At 44.0% G+C, this 22,548-nt stretch overlaps 1 non-coding gene and 2 pseudogenes across 2 annotated transcripts in view, besides 1 other annotated feature; 1 reads left to right on the top strand and 2 right to left on the bottom strand.

Annotated features, from left to right (window-relative positions):
* Positions 1-16,385, bottom strand: part of ULK4P3 (ULK4 pseudogene 3) — a 28,017-nt pseudogene extending 11,632 nt beyond the window's left edge. The window contains exons 1-3 of the transcript NR_026859.1: positions 16,109-16,385; positions 9,691-9,815; positions 3,179-3,225 (exon numbers count right to left, since the gene is read on the bottom strand). The product of NR_026859.1 is annotated as a ULK4 pseudogene 3 (transcript). The remainder of the gene's footprint in view (positions 1-3,178; positions 3,226-9,690; positions 9,816-16,108) is intronic.
* Positions 1,625-2,125: an enhancer, noted in NCBI's record as "H3K4me1 hESC enhancer chr15:30410195-30410695 (GRCh37/hg19 assembly coordinates)". NCBI's record gives its function as "activates a minimal SCP1, AML or CMV promoter by ChIP-STARR-seq in primed H9 embryonic stem cells {active_cell/tissue: H9 hESC(primed)}" and the evidence as "EXISTENCE:reporter gene assay evidence [ECO:0000049][PMID:30033119]".
* Positions 7,787-7,919, bottom strand: LOC124900359 (U8 small nucleolar RNA). Its single transcript, XR_007064811.1, has one exon. It is a non-coding gene; the product is annotated as a U8 small nucleolar RNA (small nucleolar RNA).
* On the top strand, positions 18,016-21,862 carry DNM1P28 (dynamin 1 pseudogene 28; annotated as a pseudogene).

The raw sequence follows: 22,548 nt of genomic DNA, 5'->3' as shown, positions 1-22,548 counted from the left end.
GAAATTGACCCTCCCAGTCTTAAAACTTGAGAAAGTTACATTTGTCTTATCTGAGTTCCTTTCTTGGGAAACCAACCATCAGGCCTCCCAGATAGTTATCAAGGAACTGAAACTTACCAGATCACCACATCTGGACCATAAGACACCAGACCACCTCACCCATCACAATTGCCTAACCAACTACCTGCTTCCTGTCGACCAACTCCTCTCCCTCACCCTTCCCTAACTCCTGTTTTCCCATACATGGTTACATTTCTTCCCTGCTAAATAAACCTGTGGTTTTAGTCAGTCGAGGAGACAAATTTGAGATTGATCTCCCATCTCCTTAGCTGCAGCACCCAATTGAAGCCTTGTTCCCTAGCAACACTCATCGTCTCCGTGATTGGCTTTCTGCGCTGTGAGCAACAGGACCTAGACCAAACCCCTCGATGTTTCAGTAGCAATATGAGGTACTCACCATAAGCAAATTTACCAAGATAGAATAAGTAGAGTATAGGTTACCAGGACTGGGGAAGGGAAAGGAAAGGGGAAGTTATGTTTAACGGGTAAAGAGCTTCTGTTTAAGATGACGAAAAAGTTCTGGAAATGAATAGTGGTGATGGTTACACAACAATGGGAATGAACTAAATGTCACTGTACACATAAAAATAGCTAAAATGGAACATTTTAAATTATGTGTAATTTACAAGTAACACATTTTAAAGTTACAGTATTACACTATTACTATATATGAATTATACCTCATAAAGTTGATTGGCAAGGATAAAAGGATATACAATTTGATAAATACTCAACGTTGGAAGTTCTAACAAAAGGCATTTTAAACACATTGACTGGGATTATCTATTGATACAATGTTTTTTTAAGAGTATTTCAGCAATTTTTCAGAAGTCACAAAGATATTTACTGCCTTCTACCCATTTGTTCTAGTTCTATGAATCTTTCCTAAAGGGAAAAAGAAAAAGCGGGCACGAAGATTTAATCTCAAAAATGTTCATCAAAATGTTGTTTACAACATTATAATACTATCCAAAAATAGTAAACAAAATGATCAGATATTCACAACATATAAAACGTTTACCTTAAGTATTATGTATTTTATTTTAAAATGTTGATAACATTTAAAATACATAATATATATGTTATGGGGGAAAACAAACATAAAAAACTATATCATGTGATTCTAATTTTTTATAAGCAAAACAAAACTAAGTATCTACTTCAATAATAATTATCTCCCAGACTAAGTTAAGGACCCTTTATCATATGCTATCAAGGTAATATAACCTGAGGTCAGAGAAAACCTCGCTGGAAGTGGCTTTGGATGGAGAAAGAGAATAAAAGAAGATTCCTACCAGAGAACTTGTCTACCTCAGTATCATTTTATTCAAATTAAAACTGTTTTACAATCAAACCTCAATTTTTAACAGTGGGGGAAAAAACAGTATGTGTTAATTTTAGTATCCAAGGGGATACTAGAACCATTCTCCTGGCTGATACAGAGGGATGACTGTTCTCGGAAATGATTTGGAATGTCTGTCTGAAAATGTCAGCAGGGAGCACCCCATTCAGGTATATAACACGTTTTAAATAAAAGTGTTTAGATACATATTTCATTGATTCATTTTTAATGAGCATACCATAAGCCTTCTCAAAGTATTAAATGCTCAACCATTACCTAAAAATCCTACTTTCTATTACCAGATTTTATTTTGCGAGAGTAACATTAGAAGACGTATAATAAGAATTACCCTTATTATTAAACATTTTCTAAACTCCTATTGTTTCACCCATATTTCACCAGCATAGAAGAATAATTATTATACCACTGCCACAATTCACAAAATCCTTTCACCTCCGTTTTTTCATGTGCCTGTCCTAACAATCATGAGATAAGCAAGCTTCATGATAATAACTACAACTTCTACAACCCCAACCCCACTGTCAATGAAATACCCACTAAGAATCAGGCACTATACGGCCAGTCACGGTGGCTCATGCCTGTAATCCCAGCACTTTGGGAGGCTGAGGTGGGCAGATCACGAGGTCAGGAGATCGAGACCACGGTGAAAAAAATTAGCCGGGCGGGCGTGGTGGCGGGCGCCTGTAGTCCCAGCTACTAAGGAGGCTGAGGCAGGAGAACGGCGTGAACCCGGGAGGCGGAGCTTGCAGTGAGCTGAGATCGCACCACTGCACTCCAGCCTGGGTGACAGAGGGAGATGCCGACTCAGAAAAAAAAAAAAAAGAAAGAAAGAAACAGGCACTATACCAGGTATCTCACATATTTACCACATTCAAAGTTGAATAATTACCAAAAATCTATGAAGTAGTTATCCCATCCCAATTTTACAGATGAGGAAACTGCGGCTCAGCAATTAAAGTAATTGGCCCAGAAAGCGGATCTTTGATCCACACCCAGGTCTGTCTGAATCCTAAACCTATGCCATTTCCTTGTCCCACCCACACTCCCCAGGAAACAGAGATTGAGAAAAAGATAATCATTTGGCCAAGTCTTATAGGCAACAGGAACCCAGAGCCTTCTAACACTTGATCTACGGTGCTTTCCACCTGGTATGTTGCTTCTATAAAAAGTAAGGACACTTCCTTCCATCGGGAGTTTATAAATCATAATTAATCTCATTAGATTATAAATAACATCATAGGGAAGCTATGTGCTACATAGGGACAGATAAGGGTGCCCAAGGGAAACTTTGAGGAAGTATAACTAAATTAATACACAGGGATCAGGGTTGAAGTATTTTATAACCAATACTCAAAACAGTAACAGTTAGCCTGGCGCAGTGGCTCACGTCTGTAATCCTAACACTTTGGGAGTCAGAGATGGGAGAATCACTTGAGCCCAGGAGTTGGAAACCAGCCTGGGCAACATAGTGAGAGACCTTGTCTCTACGAAAATAAAAAAACAACAACAGTTAATAAAGTTTCCAGGAGTAGCTTAGATAATCCCAGAATCGTATCTATATTAGGAGAAGGGCTATTTTTAAATATTCTAAAGTTTATAATTGGAATGCCCATAAAAATTGCCTATGAGTAAATTCATCATTACATCAGGAAAATTTATGATAATTACTTAGGACTCTGCTTTTGATAAATATGTATGCTGTAACTACTTAATAAAACCATGAGAAATAATTTTTAAAATGTAAATGTTACTTACATATCGCAGTTTGCAGCTATCCACAAATGCTGGATTAGCAATTGGAACTAGAATAAAAAATGTAAATGTAAAAAAAGAAAAAATTAAAATATTTAAGTCATGAAACACAGAAAGTGACAGCAAAGTTAAAAACTCAGATCTTTATAAAAAGGAAATTTATACTGTACACCAAAAATGATATTTGCTAAATTACAAAGGCACTTGTATACGAATAAGATTAAAATAAAAACTAAGAACAGTACTTTTAGTTTCTCCTACCACTTTATATTCTCTAAATGACAGCCCTTACCTGATAGACACACGCCAACTATCAAAAAAAGCAATCTTAATACCATCCTGGAAGCAAGTGAACTTACATTTTTTTCAAGCCAATTCCCAAATGAGGGCCCACTACAGAAAACACCTCCGAACCACTGTAATTCCTTTCTGAGGATGACTCCAAACACTCTGCCAATCGATGCTAAACATGAGCCAAAAGAAACAAAAAAACTCTGACAAATTCCCATGAGCTTACCAATGGACCAAGATTGTCCAAAAAGTAATATTCCCAGAGGATAGGAAAAAAATGTCTTAGAGGGTTGATGTCTGCCTTCAATGTCACAGCAGAAACCTTGCAGTTTACCAGATGACCCAGTAAAGGAACCAACACCCACAACCCGTTCCACATGGGCAGTTAATTCCAGTCACTGATGAGAAGGGAAAAGGTCTGTCTTATGATATCACATTTTTTTTTGTTTGTTTTTTGTTTTTATTTTTTGAGATGGGGTTTCGCTCTTTTTGCCCAGGCTGGGGTGCAATGGCATGATCACGGCTCACTGCGACTTCTGGCTCCTGGGTTCAAGTGATTCTCCTGTCTCAGCCTCCCAAGTAGCTAGGATTACAGGAGTGCACCACCACGCCCTGCTAATTTTGTATTTTTAGTAGAGATGGGGTTTCGCCATGTTGGCCAGGCTGGTTTCAAACTGCTGACCTCAGGTGATCCACCTGCCTCGGCCTCCCAAAGTACTGAGATTACAGGCGTTCATTCCAGTCACTGATGAGAAGGTAAAAGGTCTGTCTTATGATATCACGCCCGGCCTGATTTCACATATTTTTTAAAAATCTTACAAGTTAACATAAAATGGAAACCTGAGTATTACAAACAACAACAACAACAAAAAGTTCAAAATCACCGTCTACTCTTATCTACTTTAAGACGTAAGGATTAAGCAGAGGATAATTTGCATAAACCTAAAATCGTGATAAATCAGTTTTTTCATGGTAGTTAAATCAAATTGCTATTTTAGCACTTGTTTGAGCCTCTATAAAAAACATAAATTTAAATGCATAAGTCATGTCACAGAGGCCTACCAGCGGGGAAAGGAGGAGCCTGGTGGCCACCTCCTGGTGACCAGCCACCACTCACAAACAGCAAAGGAGATTAAGCTTGGCTCAGGAGGTCCCCGAGCTCTTCTCACTGGAGTCGATCTGCGAGCACACTTGTTACAAAAAGTCATTCCAATCTTGGTCTTTCAGAAATTATAACTTATCCATTGCCAAGGAAAGAAAATAACAAAAGTATGATGATGAGAAAAACAACTGCTGGAAACATTACATGAGAAATAAACACAGAGTTACGACAGCTAAGATGAGGACAAAGAAAACATTACTCTGTCAACACCAAAAATACTCCAAAGATGACACTACTTCTATTTGTCCTTCTATATTCCTCATCTCTTTATCTATCCATGGAAACTTTTTAAACACTTCAATGGAAAACTATGCTTTCAAACCAAGCAGATGTCTAAAGCAGAATTGTCTCACAACCTAGATTATAACAAAATGCAAAGTTCAATACAACTGGAGTAAAAGACAAAAAAGCCTTTGTATAAATAAATCAACTCTCAGATATTGAGAAAAGCACAAACCACACAGTTATTAAAAAGTTCCAATGAAATTACTGTAAAAAAATAACGAGGATAACATGATAGCTAAAATCACCTGAAATTCCTACCTCCAAATCCCTATAAAAAAAGGGCAAAATCTAGGAAATGTGATACTCCCTAAAATTTTTTGCTAACATGTTTTTGCTGATCTCAATCTTTAGACAAAGAAATTGTAAATATAATTTCCTAAGTAACTCAAAGAAGAAAAAGGAAATAGTATTTCCCGATAATAATTCTCTAGGTTTGCATAAATAGACCTACTTGGCACTGAAAGCACTATTAATATTTTGCTTCACTTTGGTCTTTCAAAAACGTCCTTCTACACAGGTTTTTTTGGTTGTTTTTATCACTAATTAAGTTGACTGATATAAACCCTTAGCTGGTTTATTTAAACCTAAATATATTTTAAATTTACTTCAAATCATAGATTCTACTCTAGCCACAATGAATAATTTTCCCCAAATTGAGTTTAACAGCTTAAAATATAATTTGTTAAAAAAAAAAAAGTTTAAGGTATGTAAAAATTTCTGACTTTCACCGTAAATAAGATTTTCATTAGCTCAACAGAAATGTAATAATTATCCCTTAAGTATCTCCACTCCCACACCATCTCCACAGTCATGAACCACCTAGTCCCGTTCTCAAATGTCCTGGTCCCGCCAATAGAATCCCAATCCTTCCTTGTTGTCCCCAACCCTGTGCACCTACACCTGCCATAAATGGTGGAAATTCAACCAGCTCTATGAACGGAAGGGAGGAGGCCCCCCACCCACTCTACAGGAAAACTTGCCCAGATCTACAGGAACCTCCCCACTCACAAGAGGACAGGGCAGCCCAGACTCAGCTGAGAAATGTCAACAGCTGGCACAAATGAATTACAGATTATTTACAATTCACATAACACTGACCCAAGAATATAACCAATTGTCAAGACAAAATAAATTTAGTTGTTCACATACAAATATTCCATTTGTGAATAAATTTCATATTCGTATCTGTATACAGACAGTCTACATGTTCGATAAGTCCTTTATGATCCTACCTGAAAATGCTGGTAGATGCAATATTTTTGCATCAAATTTAACCGATGGTGGTTGTTTCCTTATCTGTGGTTAAAAAAAAAAAAAACTTTTGAGGCAATTTTAAAGATGGATATCTGTCTCCTTATATGTCCCTTATATCAGATAATAAATCAATGAGGACAAAAAAAGAATGTGTAAAATTTGTTACCAAAAACAAAAAGAACGATGCCTTTTCAGATTAAAACATACATATATAGATAATAATTTATTTTTTAAAATCATTTCAATTGATATCTGTAATAAAATAAAGCTTCAAAGAAAAAATTCACCCCATCCTGGCTTACTTTTTAGGTAATTTACGTCTAATTAGAAATTCAGTCTTTCAACAAATATCTATTGCTTACCTGCCAAGGTAAGGCTCTATGTCAAGTGCTAAGGGGGATACAAAGATATAAAAGACACAATCCTATTTTCAGCGAGCTGACTTTCTGGTTGGGAAGATGAGACAAACATTTGATAAACAAGAAAATATTTCACAATTCAAAAGAGGCAGGACATAACTACAGACAAAACCCTGGACAGAAAGAATTTTTTTTGTAAATAGTAGTTTAGAGAATACAGCAAGCACTTTACTTGATATACTTGACACCGGGTTTACGGAAGACGTAGAAGGTGGGTTGCGGTCTTGAAGGATGGCTAGAACTTTATGATTATATCAGAGAAGACACCATTCAAGGAAGCCATAATAGCATGAATTGGAAAGTGCATAATTTATTTGAGAAATGTGAAGAAACCATGTAGTTGGATCCATGAGCTTAGGACAGCCAGATACTGCATCTTGAGACTTTTAATTAAAAATTCAACCATCATTTCTATACCTAACTTCTGCAAAACTTCTATATGTAATATTTTTAAAACCTTTACTAATTAAGTAACCAGCATTACTGTATTTACTGTAGTATTCTTACTAAAATGCATATTCTCATTCTAATCTCATAATCCAAATTCATAATCTCATTCGAGTCATGAGAAACCCTTAGACAAACCTAAATTAAGGGACATTCTTCAAAACACCCAACCAGTTACTCTTCAAAGTGTCAAGGACTTGAGTCATACGTTTTATAACATGTATTACAAAAACATACAAAGGCCAGGTGCCGTGGCTCACGCCTGTAATCCCAGCACTTTGGGAGGCCTAGGCAGGTGGATCATGAGGTCAGGAGTTCAAGACCAGCCTGGCCAACATGGTAAAACCCCATCTCTACTAAAACTACAAAACTTAGCCAGGTGCAGTGGCAGGTGCCTGTAATCCTAGCTACTCATGAGGCTGAGGCAGGAGAATAGCTTGAACCCGGTCGGCAGAGGTTGCAGTGAGCTGAGATCGCGCCACTACACTCCAGCCTGGGTGACAAAAAACAAAACAAAACAAAATAAAAGACAAACTGTCAAGGTCATGAAAGACAAGCAAAGTCTGAGAAATTCTGACAAAACCGTGAAAAACTAGGACAGACTATATGAGACTAAGAAGGCATAACAACTAACTGTAATGTGGGATCCTGGAACAAAAAAAAAGAGGACATTAGAGGCAACCGGTAAAATTCAAATGCATTTGGTAGTTAGCAGCACTATTCTCATGTTTTATTTTTCCCTTTTCAGGAAGAATTCGAAAGGAGCAGTCAGGGTATTGCATGCCATCATTACACAGAGATATGAATCAAGTATCATGCAATTCCAACTACCACATTCTGCTGCCCTCCAAAAGGAGGCACAGGTAAGGATTATCCCGCCTGACTAACACTATACCAATGTTAATTCCCAGGTTTTGCTAACTATACTATAGACCTATAAGATGTGAACATTAAGAGCAGCTGGGCAAAAGCTATACAGGAGTTCTCAACTATTTTTTAATCTTTTCTCTAAAAGTAGTTTAGAATTAAAAGTTAAACACAAAAATTTCCACTGATGAAGGCTTCCCATAAACTATCAAATATGGTTATAAGAGGAAAAAAGGAAACACAGAATATTGTGTAAAGCAAGCTTGTCCAACCCGCAGCCCGTGGGCTGGATGCGGCCCAAGACGGCTTTGAATATGGCCCAACACAAATTCATAAACTCTCTTAAAACATCGTAAGAATTTTTTTGCAATTTTTTTTTATTGGTTTTTTAGTTCATCAGCTATTGTTAGTGTATTTTATGTGTGGCCCAAGACAATTCTTCTTCCAGTGTGGCCCAGGGAAGCCAAAAGACTGGACACCCCTGGGAAAGATATCACAAATTGTTCTAGAAAGCCCATTTTGAAAATGCGCCAATGCACATCAAACTTAGCATAATAAAGTTACACTGCCAGACATATGAACTCACAAAAAGAATTAGCTCCATTATGAAAAACAGCTAAATCATCTATATAAAATGCTGTCTATCTAGAAAATAAACATGAATCCAAAAACCCTTACATTGTTCTAAACCACACTAATGTTCCCAATGAGACAAGAAAAAAACAGTCATGAATTAATACAGAAAAAGATATTTAAAAAAGAAAAAGAAGGCCAGGTGTGGTGGCTCATGCCTGTAATCCCAGCACTTTGAGAGGCCGAGGTGGGTGGATCACAAGGTCAGGAGATCGAGACCATCCTGGCTTACATGGTGAAACCCTGTCTCTACTAAAAATACAAAAAATTAGCAGGGCGTGGTGGCGGGCACCTGTAGTCCCAGCTACTTGGGAGGCTGAGGCAGGAGAATGACATGAACCTGGGAGGCGGAGCTTGCAGTGAGCCAAAATCGCGTCATTGCACTCCAGCCTGTGTGACAGAGCAAGACTCTGTCTCAAAAAAATAAAAAATAAAAGTAAAACTAAAAAAAAGTAAAAGAAGCAGTAAAGTTAAAATAGAGAATAAGTAGTGGAATGTGAGTATGTTGGGGAGCTGGAAGTCAAGACAAAACAGAGGGACTTAGAAATGCATCTGTTTTTTAAAGTAAATACTCATTATCCCCCAGCAATAAAGTATTATATTCCAAAAGACAAGAAGCAAAAAAACTCACAGTGGTTTAGAAGTACATTGTGAACCATGACTCCTCAAGTTCCCATAGTGTCTCCCCACCATCTCCCCTGCAGTATTAACAACCTGTGACAGGGCAGGGCTTCCGTGTGATCTGCCTGCCCAGCCCAGCCTGGTGAGCAGTGCCCTCTGACTGCTTCTGCCTTCAAAACACATCAGAGACTAGAATACTTAGAGTGATTCACATTAGTGCAGATGGAGAAACGATGGGACTGAGAGCTAAGGTCTGAGGTCAAGAGGCTGGCAACCCCTCCGTGGCATGTGGAAGAAAGCAGTAGTGAGAAGCAGAGCTGACTCATTCAAAACAGAGGGGGGAAAACTTAGAACTCCAGTGAAGCGGAAGTGAAGGCAGAGGAAAGGGTTGCAGACAGAGCGGGAGCTGGAAATGCAGACATGCAGCACAAATGAAAGAGTAGCGGACAAGAGAAACAGGAAAGATTAGACAGTAAATAATATTCTGAATGAAAATCTTATGCAGATTTCAGATCTCAGTAAAGTCTACAACTCACTTGTCAGAGTGCTTTCTGCACCTTTGGATTGTCAATAATGGGGGTGACAACAAGATCTGAGTCGTGTAGATAAGCTCTCTCATCTGGGATTCCAGGTCCTGCTGACTCAGGTGTCCACTTGTAATCTGAAATGAGAACAAAAATTTGACTTTGTTTCTGTGACTAATATAGAGCTTTAAAACACTGAACTAATATGATGCTGAGGAAGACACCACTGTAAAATATCACCTATATCAATGTACTTCCACTGCTATTCAAGACACTTGCAGTCTCACTTGATTTTCACAAAAATCCTAAACTGTAGGTACCATAATTTCCATTTTACAGATAAAAATATAAAACTCTGAGAAAGTAACTGAATTGCTCATGTTACCATTAAAACTGGCTAGGACTACAAAAAAGATCTTTACAATTCAACGTTCTAAACTCTGATGAGGCAAACTGCTTTTTCGATTACCAGCATGGTTTTTTTTTGTTTTTTTTTTTTTTTTTAGGGATGGAGTCTCAGTCTGTCACATAGGCTGGAGGGCAGTGGTGCAACCCTGGCTCACTGCAACCTCTGCCTCCTGGGTTCAAGTGATTCTCCTGCCTCAGCCTCCCAAGTAGTGGAATTACGGGTGTGCACCACCATGCCCAGCTAATTTTTTTTTTTTTTTTTTTGAGACAGAGTCTTGCTCTGTCACCAGGCTAGAGTGCAGTGGCGCGATCTCAGCTCACCACAACCTCTGTCTCCTGGGTTAAAGTCATTCTCCTGCCTCAGCCTCTCCAGTAGCTAGGACAAGGTTTCACCATGTTGGCCAGGCTGGTCTCGAACTCCTGGCCTCAGGTGATCCACCTGCCTCGGCCTCCCAAAGTGCTGGGATTATAGGTGTGAGCCACTGCACCCGACCCATGGCTTTATTTTTCATTCATAGAATGCTGATCAATTTATTTCTGCTTTACAGAATATTCAATGTGAAGTTGAAACTGTAACATACAAAAATTTTCAGACTTAAATACAGACCGGTTACCTAAGTGTTAAACCTCAATTATTTATTAAGCCTCATTAGAGATGATACATAATAAAATCAATCACCAGACATTCACCATCAGTTATTCCTTTGAGATGGTTCTTTGTGCTCTATTTAAACATAATTTGTATTCCTAGTGCTATGCCCCAGTATTTCCCATCAGAAAAAAAAAAGGATTTATGCTTAAGAACCTTAAAAGAAACAATGACTAGCAAACTAAATAAAATAGAAAAGTAAATCAGTGAAGTAAGGAAGAAGGAAAATAAATTATCCAAAACTAGTGAGGAAGGGTCATAGATAAAGGAACAGAGTTAGCTAAGAAAATTCCTGGAAACCCAAGGTGCCCCTTGCAACTCAGATGAAAGATATACGAAAACACACAAAGAGGCCGAGGCCGGGCACGGTGGCTCAAGCCTGTAATCCCAGCAATTTGGGAGGCCAAGGCGGGTGGATCACGAGGTCAGGAGTTCAAGACCAGCCTGACCAACATGGTGAAACACTGTCTCTACTAAAAATACAAAAATTAGCTGGGTGTGGTGGCATGTGCCTGTAATCCCAGCTACTCAGGAGGCTGAGGCAGGAGAATCACCTGAACCTGGGAGGCGGAGGTTGCAGTGAGTTGAGATTGTGCCACTGCACCAATTAAAACAATTGTATGCAAAAATTAGTTTCCTATAGGTAAATTGAGTGTAGGCACAAATGCCAAGTTATAACAAATATCCCACTCACAATAGCAAAAATATATAAAACAAAATGTTCAGGAATAAACTAAATGATCAATAATTGCAATGAGATCACGATCATTAAATGAAAATAATCGTTATAAAATTATACTCTCTTGCTTCAAAGTGAACACATTATGTATAAAACCAGAAGTAGTAATATCAAAATGTATGAGATGTATGAGGTTACAGTGAACTATGATGGTGCCACTGCACTCCAGCCTGAGCAACAGGCTCTAAAAAAAAAAAAAAAGGTAATCAGTGTTTACTTGGGAATTACATTGTAAATAATTTTTCTACTGTCTTTGTCCTCTTTTATATTTTACAAGTTTTTTACAATTATATATGTTTTGTAATAGAATAAAAAGTATCATTTAAAAATTATAAAACATAAGGCCAACACAGTGGCTCACACCTGTAATCCCAGCTCTTTGGGAGGCCGAGGCGGGCAGATCACTTGAGTCCAGGAGTTTCAGACCAGCCTGGACAACATGGGGAAACCTCTACTAAAAATACAAAAAATTAGCCATGCATGGTGGCGCACACCTGTAGTCGCAGCTACTCAGGTGGCTGCGATGAGATGAGATAAGCACCTAAGCCCAAGAAGTTGAGGCTGCAATGAGCCATGATCGTGCCACTCCACTCCACCCTGGGTGACAGGAGTGAGGCTCTGTCTCAAAAATAAATAAATACCGAGATATATATGTAAAATAAACTACCTTAGGTATTCACATTATTGATTATATTTTCTCAATAGAATGATTATATATTCCTCTTTATAACCATCTGCCAGAAGAGCTTCAACATCTATCGCATTTCAGAATGAATTTTTTTTTTTTTTTTTTTTTTTTTGAGACGGAGTCTAACTCTGTCGCCCAGGCTGGAGTGCAGTGGTGCGATCTCAGCTCACCGCAACCTCCGCCTCCCAGGTTCACACCATTCTCCTGCCTCAGCCTCTCAAGTAGCTGGGACTACAGGTGCCCACCACCACACCCGGCTAATTTTTTGTATTTTTAGTACAGATGGGCTTTCACTGTGTTAGCCAGGATGGTCTTGATCTCCTGACCTTGTGATCTGCCCTCCTCAGCCTCCCACAGTGCTTGGATTACAGGTGTGAGCCACTGCGCCCGGCCCAGAATAAATTTTTAAATTTACATTGATTTTCTATTTCACATAACCAAAAAATTAGCACAGTCAGATTTTATTATAACCAATTTATACTAAATTTCAAAGCAGAAATAAGCTTCACAAGGTCCAAATACAGTTCACATTACATCAAAACTACAGTTAAAAACTAAAAGCAATTATATTTGTCAACCAATAAGTAGCATAAAAATTACTTAGAATTAATTCAAAGTAGGTCTGCATTCAACACAACTACGATTGAAAGAAATTAAAGGAAGACCTAAATTAGTACAAATACATCCTGTGTTCATGGAGGAAAACTTAATATTGTTAAAATGGCAGTACTTTCTAAGTTGATCTACATATTCAATGCGACTGTGATTAAAATCCCAGCTGGCTCCTTTGCAGAAACTGACAAGCTGATCTTAAAATTCATATGGAAATGCAAGTGACCCGGAACAGCCAAACCCACCTTAAAAAACTTTCTGGAGGATTCATACTTTCTGATTTCAAAGCTTACTAAACAGCTACAGTAATCAAGAGTGTGCTACTGGTATAAGGACAGATGAACAGAGAAAAGAATAGAATCCAGAAATAAACTTTCACATATACAGTCAATTGATCTTCAATAAGCGTTCCAAGACAATTCAATGGGGAAAGAATAAGCTTTTCAACAGATAGTTCTGAGATAACTGGATGTCTAGGTGCAAAACAATGAAGCTATACCCCCCTACTTCATGCCGCATGCAAAAATTAATTCAAATGGATAAAAGAGCTCAATATAAGAGATATTGATAAACTATAAAACTCATAGAAAAAAACATAGGCAGAAACCTTTGTGACCTTGGAGTAGCAACGTTTTTTTAGATATTACACCAAAAGCACAAGGAGCAAAAAAACACAAATGAAAAAAGATAAATTGGACTATATCAAAATTTAAAATCTTTCTGCTTCAAAGGACACCATCAAGAAAGAAAAAAGACAATCCAGAAAAAGGAAGAAAGTTGTTATAACTCCTATCTAGAATATGTAAAAAATTCTTACAGCTAAATAATAAAGAGATACATAACCCAATTAAAAATAAGTTAAATTTTGGAATAAGTATTTCCCCAAAAAAACAGACAAATGGCCAATAAACACATGAAAAGATACTCAACATCATTTGCCATCAGGTAAATGCAAATCAAAACCACTAAGACATAGAAATTCACACCTACTAGCTGGGCGCAGTGGCTCACACATGTAATCCAAATACTTTGGGAGGCGGAGACAGGTGGATCATTTCAGGTCAGGAGTTCGAGACCAGCCTGGCCAACATGGTGAAACCCTGTCTCTACTAAAAATACAAAAATTAGCCAGCTGGTAGTGGTGCATGCCTATAATCCCAGCTACTCGGAAGGCTGAGGCAGAAGAATTGCTTGAGCCTGGGAGATGGAGGTTGCAGTGAGCCAAGATCATGCCACTGCACTCCAGACTGGGCGACAGAGTCAGACCCTGTCTCAATCAATCACTCAATCAATGGAATTTCACACCTGCTAGATGCGAAATAGGATGGCGATCATGAGAAAGACAGGCAATGCAAAACTATTCACAATAGCCAATAGGTGGATGCAACCCAAGTATTCATCAACAGAGGAAAAGATAAAAAGGCATATTAAATACATACAAGGGAATATTATTCAGCCTTAAAAACAAATGAAATTCTGGCACATGCTACAACATGGATGAACGTTAAAGACATTATGCTAAGTGAAATAAGCCAGGCACAAAAGGACAACTACTATATGAGACCACTTATGCCAGCAGTCCCCAAACTTTTTGGCATCAGGAGCCAGTTTTGCAGAAGACAATTTTTCCACAGACAAGGTTGGGGGAGATGATTTTGGGATGATTCAAGGACATTACATTTATTGTGCATTTTATTTCTATTATTATTACATTGTAACATATAATGAAATAATTGTACAACTCACTATAATATAGAATCAGGGCTGGGCACGGTGGCTCACGCCTGTAATCCCAGCACTTTGGGAGGCCAAGGTGGCCAGATCATGAGGTCAGGAGATCGAGACCATCCTGGCTAACACGGTGAAACCCCGTCTCTACTAAAAAATACAAAAAATTGTTGGGGCGTGGTGGCTGGCGCCTGTAGTCCCAGCTACTCAGGAGGCTGAGGCAGGAGAATGGCGTGAACCTGGGAGGCGGAGCTTGCAGTGAGCCCAGATTGCACCACTGCACTCCAGCCTGGGTAACAGAGCGAGACTCCCTCTCAAAAAAAAAAAATAAAAAATAAATAAATAAATAAATAAATAAATAAATAAATAAAAAATAAAAAAACTACAAATGATAAGCAACATAGAATAGATATGTAAGGAAAGGCTTTAAAAAGGAAAATAAGATCAATATAAACTAAGAAAAAATTATTACAGAACAAAGAGATTCTAGGGAGAAGACAAAAGAGTATCAAAATCACTTCGTAAAGATACTTGTGAATATATTACATGTATAAAACAAAACAGAGGGCGGGCGCGGTGGCTGACGCCTGTAATCCCAGCACTTTGGGAGGCTGAGGCGGGTGGATCATGAGGTCAGGAGATCAAGACCATGCTGGCTAACATGGTGAAACCGCGTCTCTACTAAAAAATCCGTCTCTACTAAAAACACAAAAGTTAGCCAGGCGTGGTGGCGGGCGCCTGTAATCTCAGCTACTCGGGAGGCTGACGCAGGAGAATCGCTTTAACCAGTGGACTGTCAAGAGAGGTAGGCTGCAGTAAGCCGAGATCGCGCCACTGCACTCCAGCCTGGGCGACAGAGTGAGTGAGACTCTGTCTCAACAAAAAGAAAAAAAGAAAGAAAACTTTTTTTTGAGAGAGAGAGAGAGAGAAGTCTCGCTCTTCTCCCCCAGGTTTGAGTGCAATGGCTCGATCTCAGCTCACTGTAACCTCCGCCTCCCGGGTTCAAACGATTCTCCTGCCTCTGCCTCCCAAATAGCTGGGATTAAGTCGCCTGCCAACACGACCGGCTAATTTTTCTATTTTTTAGTAGAGATGGGTTTCACCATGTTGGCCAGGCTGGTCTCCAACTCATGACCTCAAGTGATCAGCCCGGTTGGCCTCCCAAAATGCTGGGATTACAGGCGTGAGCCACTACGCCCGGCCAAAAAACCGAAAATCTTAAAGGCCTTTCCCCTTCCCCGCCTGGGCTCCAACAACGCGGGAGCCGCCCTGCCCCGCCCTGTCGCGGTCCCTAGAGCAGGTGGGCTGACTGAGGGCGACCATGGGTCCCAAGAGAGCTCCCGCAGCCGCGGGCTCCCACCTCGAGGCGCAGCGACAGGGGCCGAGAGGGGCCAGCAGCCCCCAAGCCAGCCCCGCGCTAGGAGTTGGAGAGACGCGCCCTCCGCCTTCTCCCACCCAAGCCTCTGCCTTGCCGGGCGGGCCAGTTGCGGGAGAAAGGGGCGGGGAACCGCGGCCTCTCTGGGGCAGCTTCCCCTTTCTCCTGGGACTCTGGGCACCCGCTTTCCGCCCTCGCCCTGCCCCGCCAGGCCGCCACCCGGCGACTCACCTTAATGTTGCGGTGGGGCGTGAGCCGCGGCTGTGGCTCCTGGTTCTCCTGGAAGATAGAGGCCAGTAACTTCGGTTTGCCCTTGAACCCGGACATGGACATCTTCCCCTCACCTCCGGCGGGAGGGGCGCGGAAAAGGAGCCAGTCCCGAGCCGCTGTCATGGCCGCGACCACCAGGCGGGGCCCCCGGCCGAGCTCTCGCGGCTCCACCTCTCCCCGCCGCCGTGACCCTCGTGGGAGCGCGGCTGGAAAATGGCAAGGGGCACCGAGGACTTGGCGGGAGCTATGTGGCGGCCTGCGGGGCTGCTCCCTTTATAACCGACTCCACCGACAGGAGGCGCGGCTCCCGTCAAGCCGCAGTTTAAAAGGGCAACAGCACCACTGCCCCCGCTACCGCCTGGGAAAGGGCTGCCCCTACCCCGCCCCGGTCCTCGTCGCCCCTCACCTCTTACCCCTCACCCCTCACCCCTCAACCCGGCGCGCCCCGCGCGCACCCGGCGTGCCCGCGCTACCGGCTGCCCCCTCCTCTCTTGACCCAGCACCTTTCTGCCCGACCGATCTGGTCCCTTCCTCACACTCGCGACTGGACGGCACAACAACCAACTCTGTGTGTGTGTGTGTGTGTGTGTGTGTGTGTGTGTGTGTGTCTATGTGTGTGTGTGTGTGTCCCTGTCCCAAGGGGGCGTGGCTCACGCCTGTAATCCCACCACTTTGGGAGGCTAAGGCGGGTGGATCAGGAGGTCAGGAGATAAGACTATCCTGGCTAACACGGTAAAACCCCGTCTCTACGGAAAAAATACAAAAAATTAGCAGGGCGTGGTGGCGGACGCCTGTAGTCCCAGCTACTTGGGAGGCTGAGGGAGGAGAATGGCGTGAAACCGGGAGGCAGAGCTTGCAGTGAGCTGAGAGCGCGCCACTGCACTCCAGCCTGGGCGACAGACCAAGACTCCATATAAAAAAAGAAAAGAAAAAAAACCTCAAAGGATCACTAGTGGTCAGCAACTGTGTGCAAATAAATAGGAAAACCTACCAAAAATGGATAAATTTCCAGACACATCTAACCTACCAAGATTGAACCATGATGAAACCCAAAACCTGAACAAACCAATAACAAATAATGGGATCAAAGTGGTAATAAAAAGTCTCCCAGCAAAGAAAAGCCTGGGACCTGATGATTCACTGCTGAATTCTAGCAAACATTTAAAGAAGAACTAATACCAACCTTACCCAAACGATTCCAAAAATAGAGAAGGAGGGAATACTTGCAAACTCATTCTACAGGGCTAGCATTACCCTGATAACAAAATCAAACACACAGACCAAAAAAGAAAACTACAGGCCAATATCACTGATGAATATTGATGCAAAAATCCTCAATAAAATATTAGCTAACTGAATTCCACAACACATTAAAGTTGGGGTGCAGTGTCCCAGGTTCACTCAACCCTTCCCGTTTTCCTCTCTGTGTGTGTCTACTTTGCCGTGTTCCCTGGTGGCGGCGGCGGTGGCAGTGTTGGTGCATGGGCCTCCCAGGACAAGGGGAAAGTGAGTATGCCCCTTTCTTGCCCCCTGCCAGGCGTCTGCAGCCTGGCACAAGCTCTGGCCAGGTCTCCAACAGGGGACCTGGAGATGTTTTTTTCCAGTTTCTGGATTGGTAACTTGAGGCAGATTCTGGGCACTAGAGTCAGAACTAAGAGGAGACTGAATCAGGGGAGTCTGGGGTCCTGAGAGGCAGATACCTGAAACCGTCTAGAGCGTGTGGGGAGCTCGGTGCATGTTCACGCCAGTTGTTTTTCTCTGTGCCTCAATGTTCCAGGTACCCTTGGAGGTGCTGAGATCCTAGGGATTCCTGGAGCCTGGCTGCATGGCCTGGCCACCCTGATGCCACTGTGTTCTCCATGACAGGACAGCAAGGCTGAGGAGAATGGCTCCGACAGCTTCATGCACTCCATGGACCCATAGCTGGAGCGGCAAATGGAAACCACCCAGAACCTTGTGGACTCCTACATGGCCATTGTCAACAAGACCGTGTGGGACCTCATGGTTGGTGTCATGCCCAAGACCATCATGCACGTCATGATCAACAACGTGCATGCACCGCCTCATAGGGGCAGGGGGCTCCTGTAGCACTGGGGATGCAGGTGGCCATGTTGGCCTGGGGGAGATGCTGACCAGCCCTATGGGACCAAGGTCCAGGGAGGGAGGCACAGTCCAGACCAGAGCTGTCTCATAGAAATATAACGTGGGACTGGGGACAGTGGCCCATGTCTGTAATCCCAGCACTTTGGGAGGCCAAGGCAAGAGGATAGCTTGAGCCCAGGAGTTCGAGACCAGCTTGGGCAACATAGTGAGACCTGATCTCTACACTAAAATTTTAAAAATAGCTGGGCTTGGTGGTGGCACGTACCTATAGTCCTAGCTACTCGACAGGCTGACATTGGAGGATCACTTTGAGCCCAAGAAGTTGAGGCTACAGTGAGTGGTGATCTCGCCCACTGTCCTCCAGCCTAGCGACAGAGCAAGATCCTATCTCCAAAAAACATTTTTAAGAAACTGAGTAGACCGGTGTCCTGGTGGCATGATAGGTCCTGGGTCCCCTCCCAGATGTGTGACCTTGGACAGGTGACTTTTCCTTTGGACCTCAGTGTCCCTATCTGAGTGAGAAAAGGGCGGTGGGGAGGCAGATCTTTGAGTCTAAGCGGTGTAGAAGCCGCGTCTGAAAAGCCATACTCAGGGCTCCAAGTCCAGCACACAGTCCCAGCAGGGCCCGGCAGGAGGCCAGGGCAGCAAAGGCATCAGGTCCCAACCTCCTTCCCTCTTTGCCCGCTCTCAGACCAAGGAGTTCATCTTCTCGGAGCTGCTGTCCAACCTGTACTCACGTGGGGACCAGAAAACGCTGATGGAAGAGTCGGCAGAGCAGGCACAGTGGCGCGACGAGATGCTGCGCATGTACCACGTGCTGAAGGAGGCACTCGGCATCATCGGCGACATCAACACGACCACCATCAGCACGCACATGGGGGCCCGTGGACAACTCCTGCCTGCAGGTGCAGAGCGTCCTTGCCGGATGCAGGTACCAAGGCTGGCTCCCACGGCCCCAAAGCCCCCCAGCCCCCATGGCTGAGCCTGGGGACTCTTGGAACAGGCTCCGTGCCCACGCTGGTAGACATGGGTGCTCCCTGGAGCCGTCACAGAGCTCGTGGTTTATGGTGTAAGGGCTGAGAGCTTAGAGGGGGTGGTGTGTGGGGCTGTACTCTGAGGCGGCCAGAGTCCTAGGATAGTCCTCCTGTGCACACCGCACCTGTTGGGCAGTCTGAGTCATGCTGCCAGGGCAGGGCATCCAGCTCCCAGCCTGGGAGTGCTGAGAGCCAAATCCACTGCAGAGCAGGGGTGATAGTCAGAGTCCCACCTCCTCTATCTGTCGGCAATGCAGTGGTGAGATAGGATAAAACCTTGAGAGTCCCATACACACGGTCAACCCACAACACACCTCACAGGCCAGGCAGGAAACACAGGCCCCTTCCCTCCCTCCCAGGTACCATCATAGCTGCTAGCGTGTGACTGAAGGCAGGGTCCCTGGCCCCCGCTGAAGCACTATTGCTGGCCAGCAGGCTCACGCACCTTGGAGTGTTGCTCCTAGAGGTCACCTCTGCTATTCAGCCAAGGGGACCACAGTGCCTGCTGGCCCAGCTGACCTCCGCCCCACAAGCCCACCCACCTCCCCTGCCATAGACTCTCCCTCTTCTGCTTTTCCCAGCAGGAAGGGCCCAGCCTCACCTATCCGACCTGCAACCCCCAACAAGCTGAGGCTCCCCTCTTAGACTTATAAGTCTATAGCCAGTGGCATCCAGCTGCATGCCCTCCTTTCCTCCCCCAGGGACCCTTCAAGGGTTCCTGGGCTTTCTGACCCCCCAGAGGGGGCTCCGGCGATCACTCCACCCATCCATCCCTTTTAGCTTCATCATCCTGGTTCAAGCAGTGTTTCTTCTCTATCAGGCCTGGTGGCTGTTGTTTTGGGCTCCCCAAGGCGAGAGGTGGCCCTGGACAAGTGGGTTGGAAGACACGGTGCCCAGAGAAGAGGGAAGCCCAAAGGGGCTGAGCATCAGTCTTAACAGTGGGTGCACTGGGTGCCGTGGAAGAGGCCAGCACGTGTGGGGTGGGGAGGGCTGCCACAGCCCCCAGGCACTACCTGTGAAACTCCGGCTCCTCCCTCTGTCTTCCTCCCCTTTCCCTTCCAGCCCCTCTTTTCCAGGAACCTTGCCACACCCGCACGTGCACCCTTTACTCCTTGGCCCTCCCACAGCTGCTGTGGCACACCTGTGCTCTGCACTTGCCTCACCAGCTCTCTGCTCGCTTTTTTTTTATTATTATTATTATACTTTAAGTTTTAGGGTACATGTGACAATGTGCAGGTTAGTTACATATGTATACATGTGCCATGCTGGTGCGCTGCACCCACTAAATCGTCATCTAGCATTGGGTATATCTCCCAATGCTATCCCTCCCCCCTCCCCCCACCCCACAACAGTCCCCAGAGTGTGATGTTCCCCTTCCTGTGTCCATGTGTTCTCATTGTTCAATTCCCACCTATGAGTGAGAATATGCGGTGTTTGGTTTTTTGTTCTTGCGATAGTTAACTGAGAATGATGATTTCCAATTTCATCCATGTCCCTGCAAAGGACATGAACTCATCATTTTTTATGGCTGCATAGTATTCCATGGTGTATATGTGCCACATTTTCTTAATCCAGTCTATCATTGTTGGACATTTGGGTTGGTTCCAAGTCTTTGCTATTGTGAATAATGCCGCAATAAACATACGTGTGCATGTGTCTTTATAGCAGCATGATTTATAGTCCTTTGGGTACATACCCAGTAATGGGATGGCTGGGTCAAATGGTATTTCTAGTTCTAGATCCCTGAGGAATCGCCACACTGACTTCCACAATGGTTGAACTAGTTTACAGTCCCACCAACAGTGTAAAAGTGTTCCTATTTCTCCACATCCTCTCCAGCACCTGTTGTTTCCTGACTTTTTAATGATTGCCATTCTAACTGGTGTGAGATGATATGCTCGCTTTTCTCTCTCCTGTCTTCTCTCTGCTTTCTCTCCAACTGCCAGCCAATCGGCTCAGGCAAGTCCATCCCATCCTGAGAGCCCCAGGCCCCCCTTTGACCTCTAAACAGATTCCTCCTCTTCTCAGAGACTTCCCTTTCCAAGCCTGCCTGGGCGGCTGTTCTGTGACTTGGCAGTGGCTCCCCCAGCCCCAAAGGCAGCCCCCTTCATCTGTGACTTCGTCTATTGTTGCGGTGAGCTGACACATCCAGGTGTGACCGTTGCTGAAAACTTGTGCCCCCCTCTGTGGTATGCCCCTGCCCTGTTCTAGAAATATCTACAAATACCCATATACATACACACACACACACACACACACACACACACACACACACACCTACATGTGGCCAACCGCCTCGCCTCTAGCGCTGGGAATCAGTCACCGTGCTGTCCTTTTGGAGTCTTGTGGCCAAACAAGAGAAAGCTAACCCCTGACATTGCCCCTCCAAAGTGCGCTACCTTCAGTGAGCCTCCCTGTCACGCCCAGCCTATGGAGAGACACACCCCGCCATCCCTCCCGCCCCCCCCCCCCCCACCAAGCATGGGAGTGCTGTGCAGGCAGCTGTGTGGCCTGACAGTCTCTACCAGTCCTGCTGTCCCTTGGCTGAGAATCAAACCCGCTTCTGGATGGCGGGGAAGTGTGTCCTCTGCTGGCTGTGTTCTCTGTGGAGCTCAGGGGAGGGGAAAGGCCAAGCCATTTCTAGGGTGCTGTTGGGAGCAGTGAAAAGGCCATGCCCTTTCCAAGGGACACTTTTCCTGGAAAGCCCCTGGAGCTTAGCGGGCTCTTATCCTGTGAAGCCGGCTCTGGCCACCAGGGGGCAGGGCCATGAACTCAGCCCAGAGGGAGCCTGCAGGGCAGCCGGCACTCTGGAGGCACAGACAGAACAGGCCACCAGGTGCAGACAGGAGAGGGAGACAAGGGGATAGAACGGAAGATGCCGGGGCTGGGTGGAAGTCAGTGCCCTTAGGTGCTGGTACCTGTCTTCCCGGCCACCGCTAGATCAGGCTTCTGAGCCTGTTGGCTGTCAGGGCCAGACTGCGCCCCATAGACTACATGGCAGTCCCCTTGGAATCCCCCAGGCGCCACCAGGCAGCATACAGGTAACACGCCTGGAAGGTCCCCAACAGCCTAGCTGGACATGCTCAAGACACTCTGGGACTCCTTGTTTGGTGGCACAAACTCCAGGACCCAGTGAGGGAAACGGAAACACACCAGGCCGAGCAGTATGGCTAAATCCATTTATTCCAAAATAAAAAGCAAAATAAACAGGAGTCGCATCACCAGGGAGCCATGACCCCATCCCCGCCTCCTTCCTCTGTCCTA

Source organism: Homo sapiens, chromosome 15 (assembly GCF_000001405.40).
Source record: "Homo sapiens chromosome 15, GRCh38.p14 Primary Assembly".
In the NCBI taxonomy this organism is placed as follows: Eukaryota; Metazoa; Chordata; class Mammalia; order Primates; family Hominidae; genus Homo; species Homo sapiens.
Note: the sequence above shows the minus strand (reverse complement) of the source record. Positions and strands in the feature narration are given on the sequence as shown.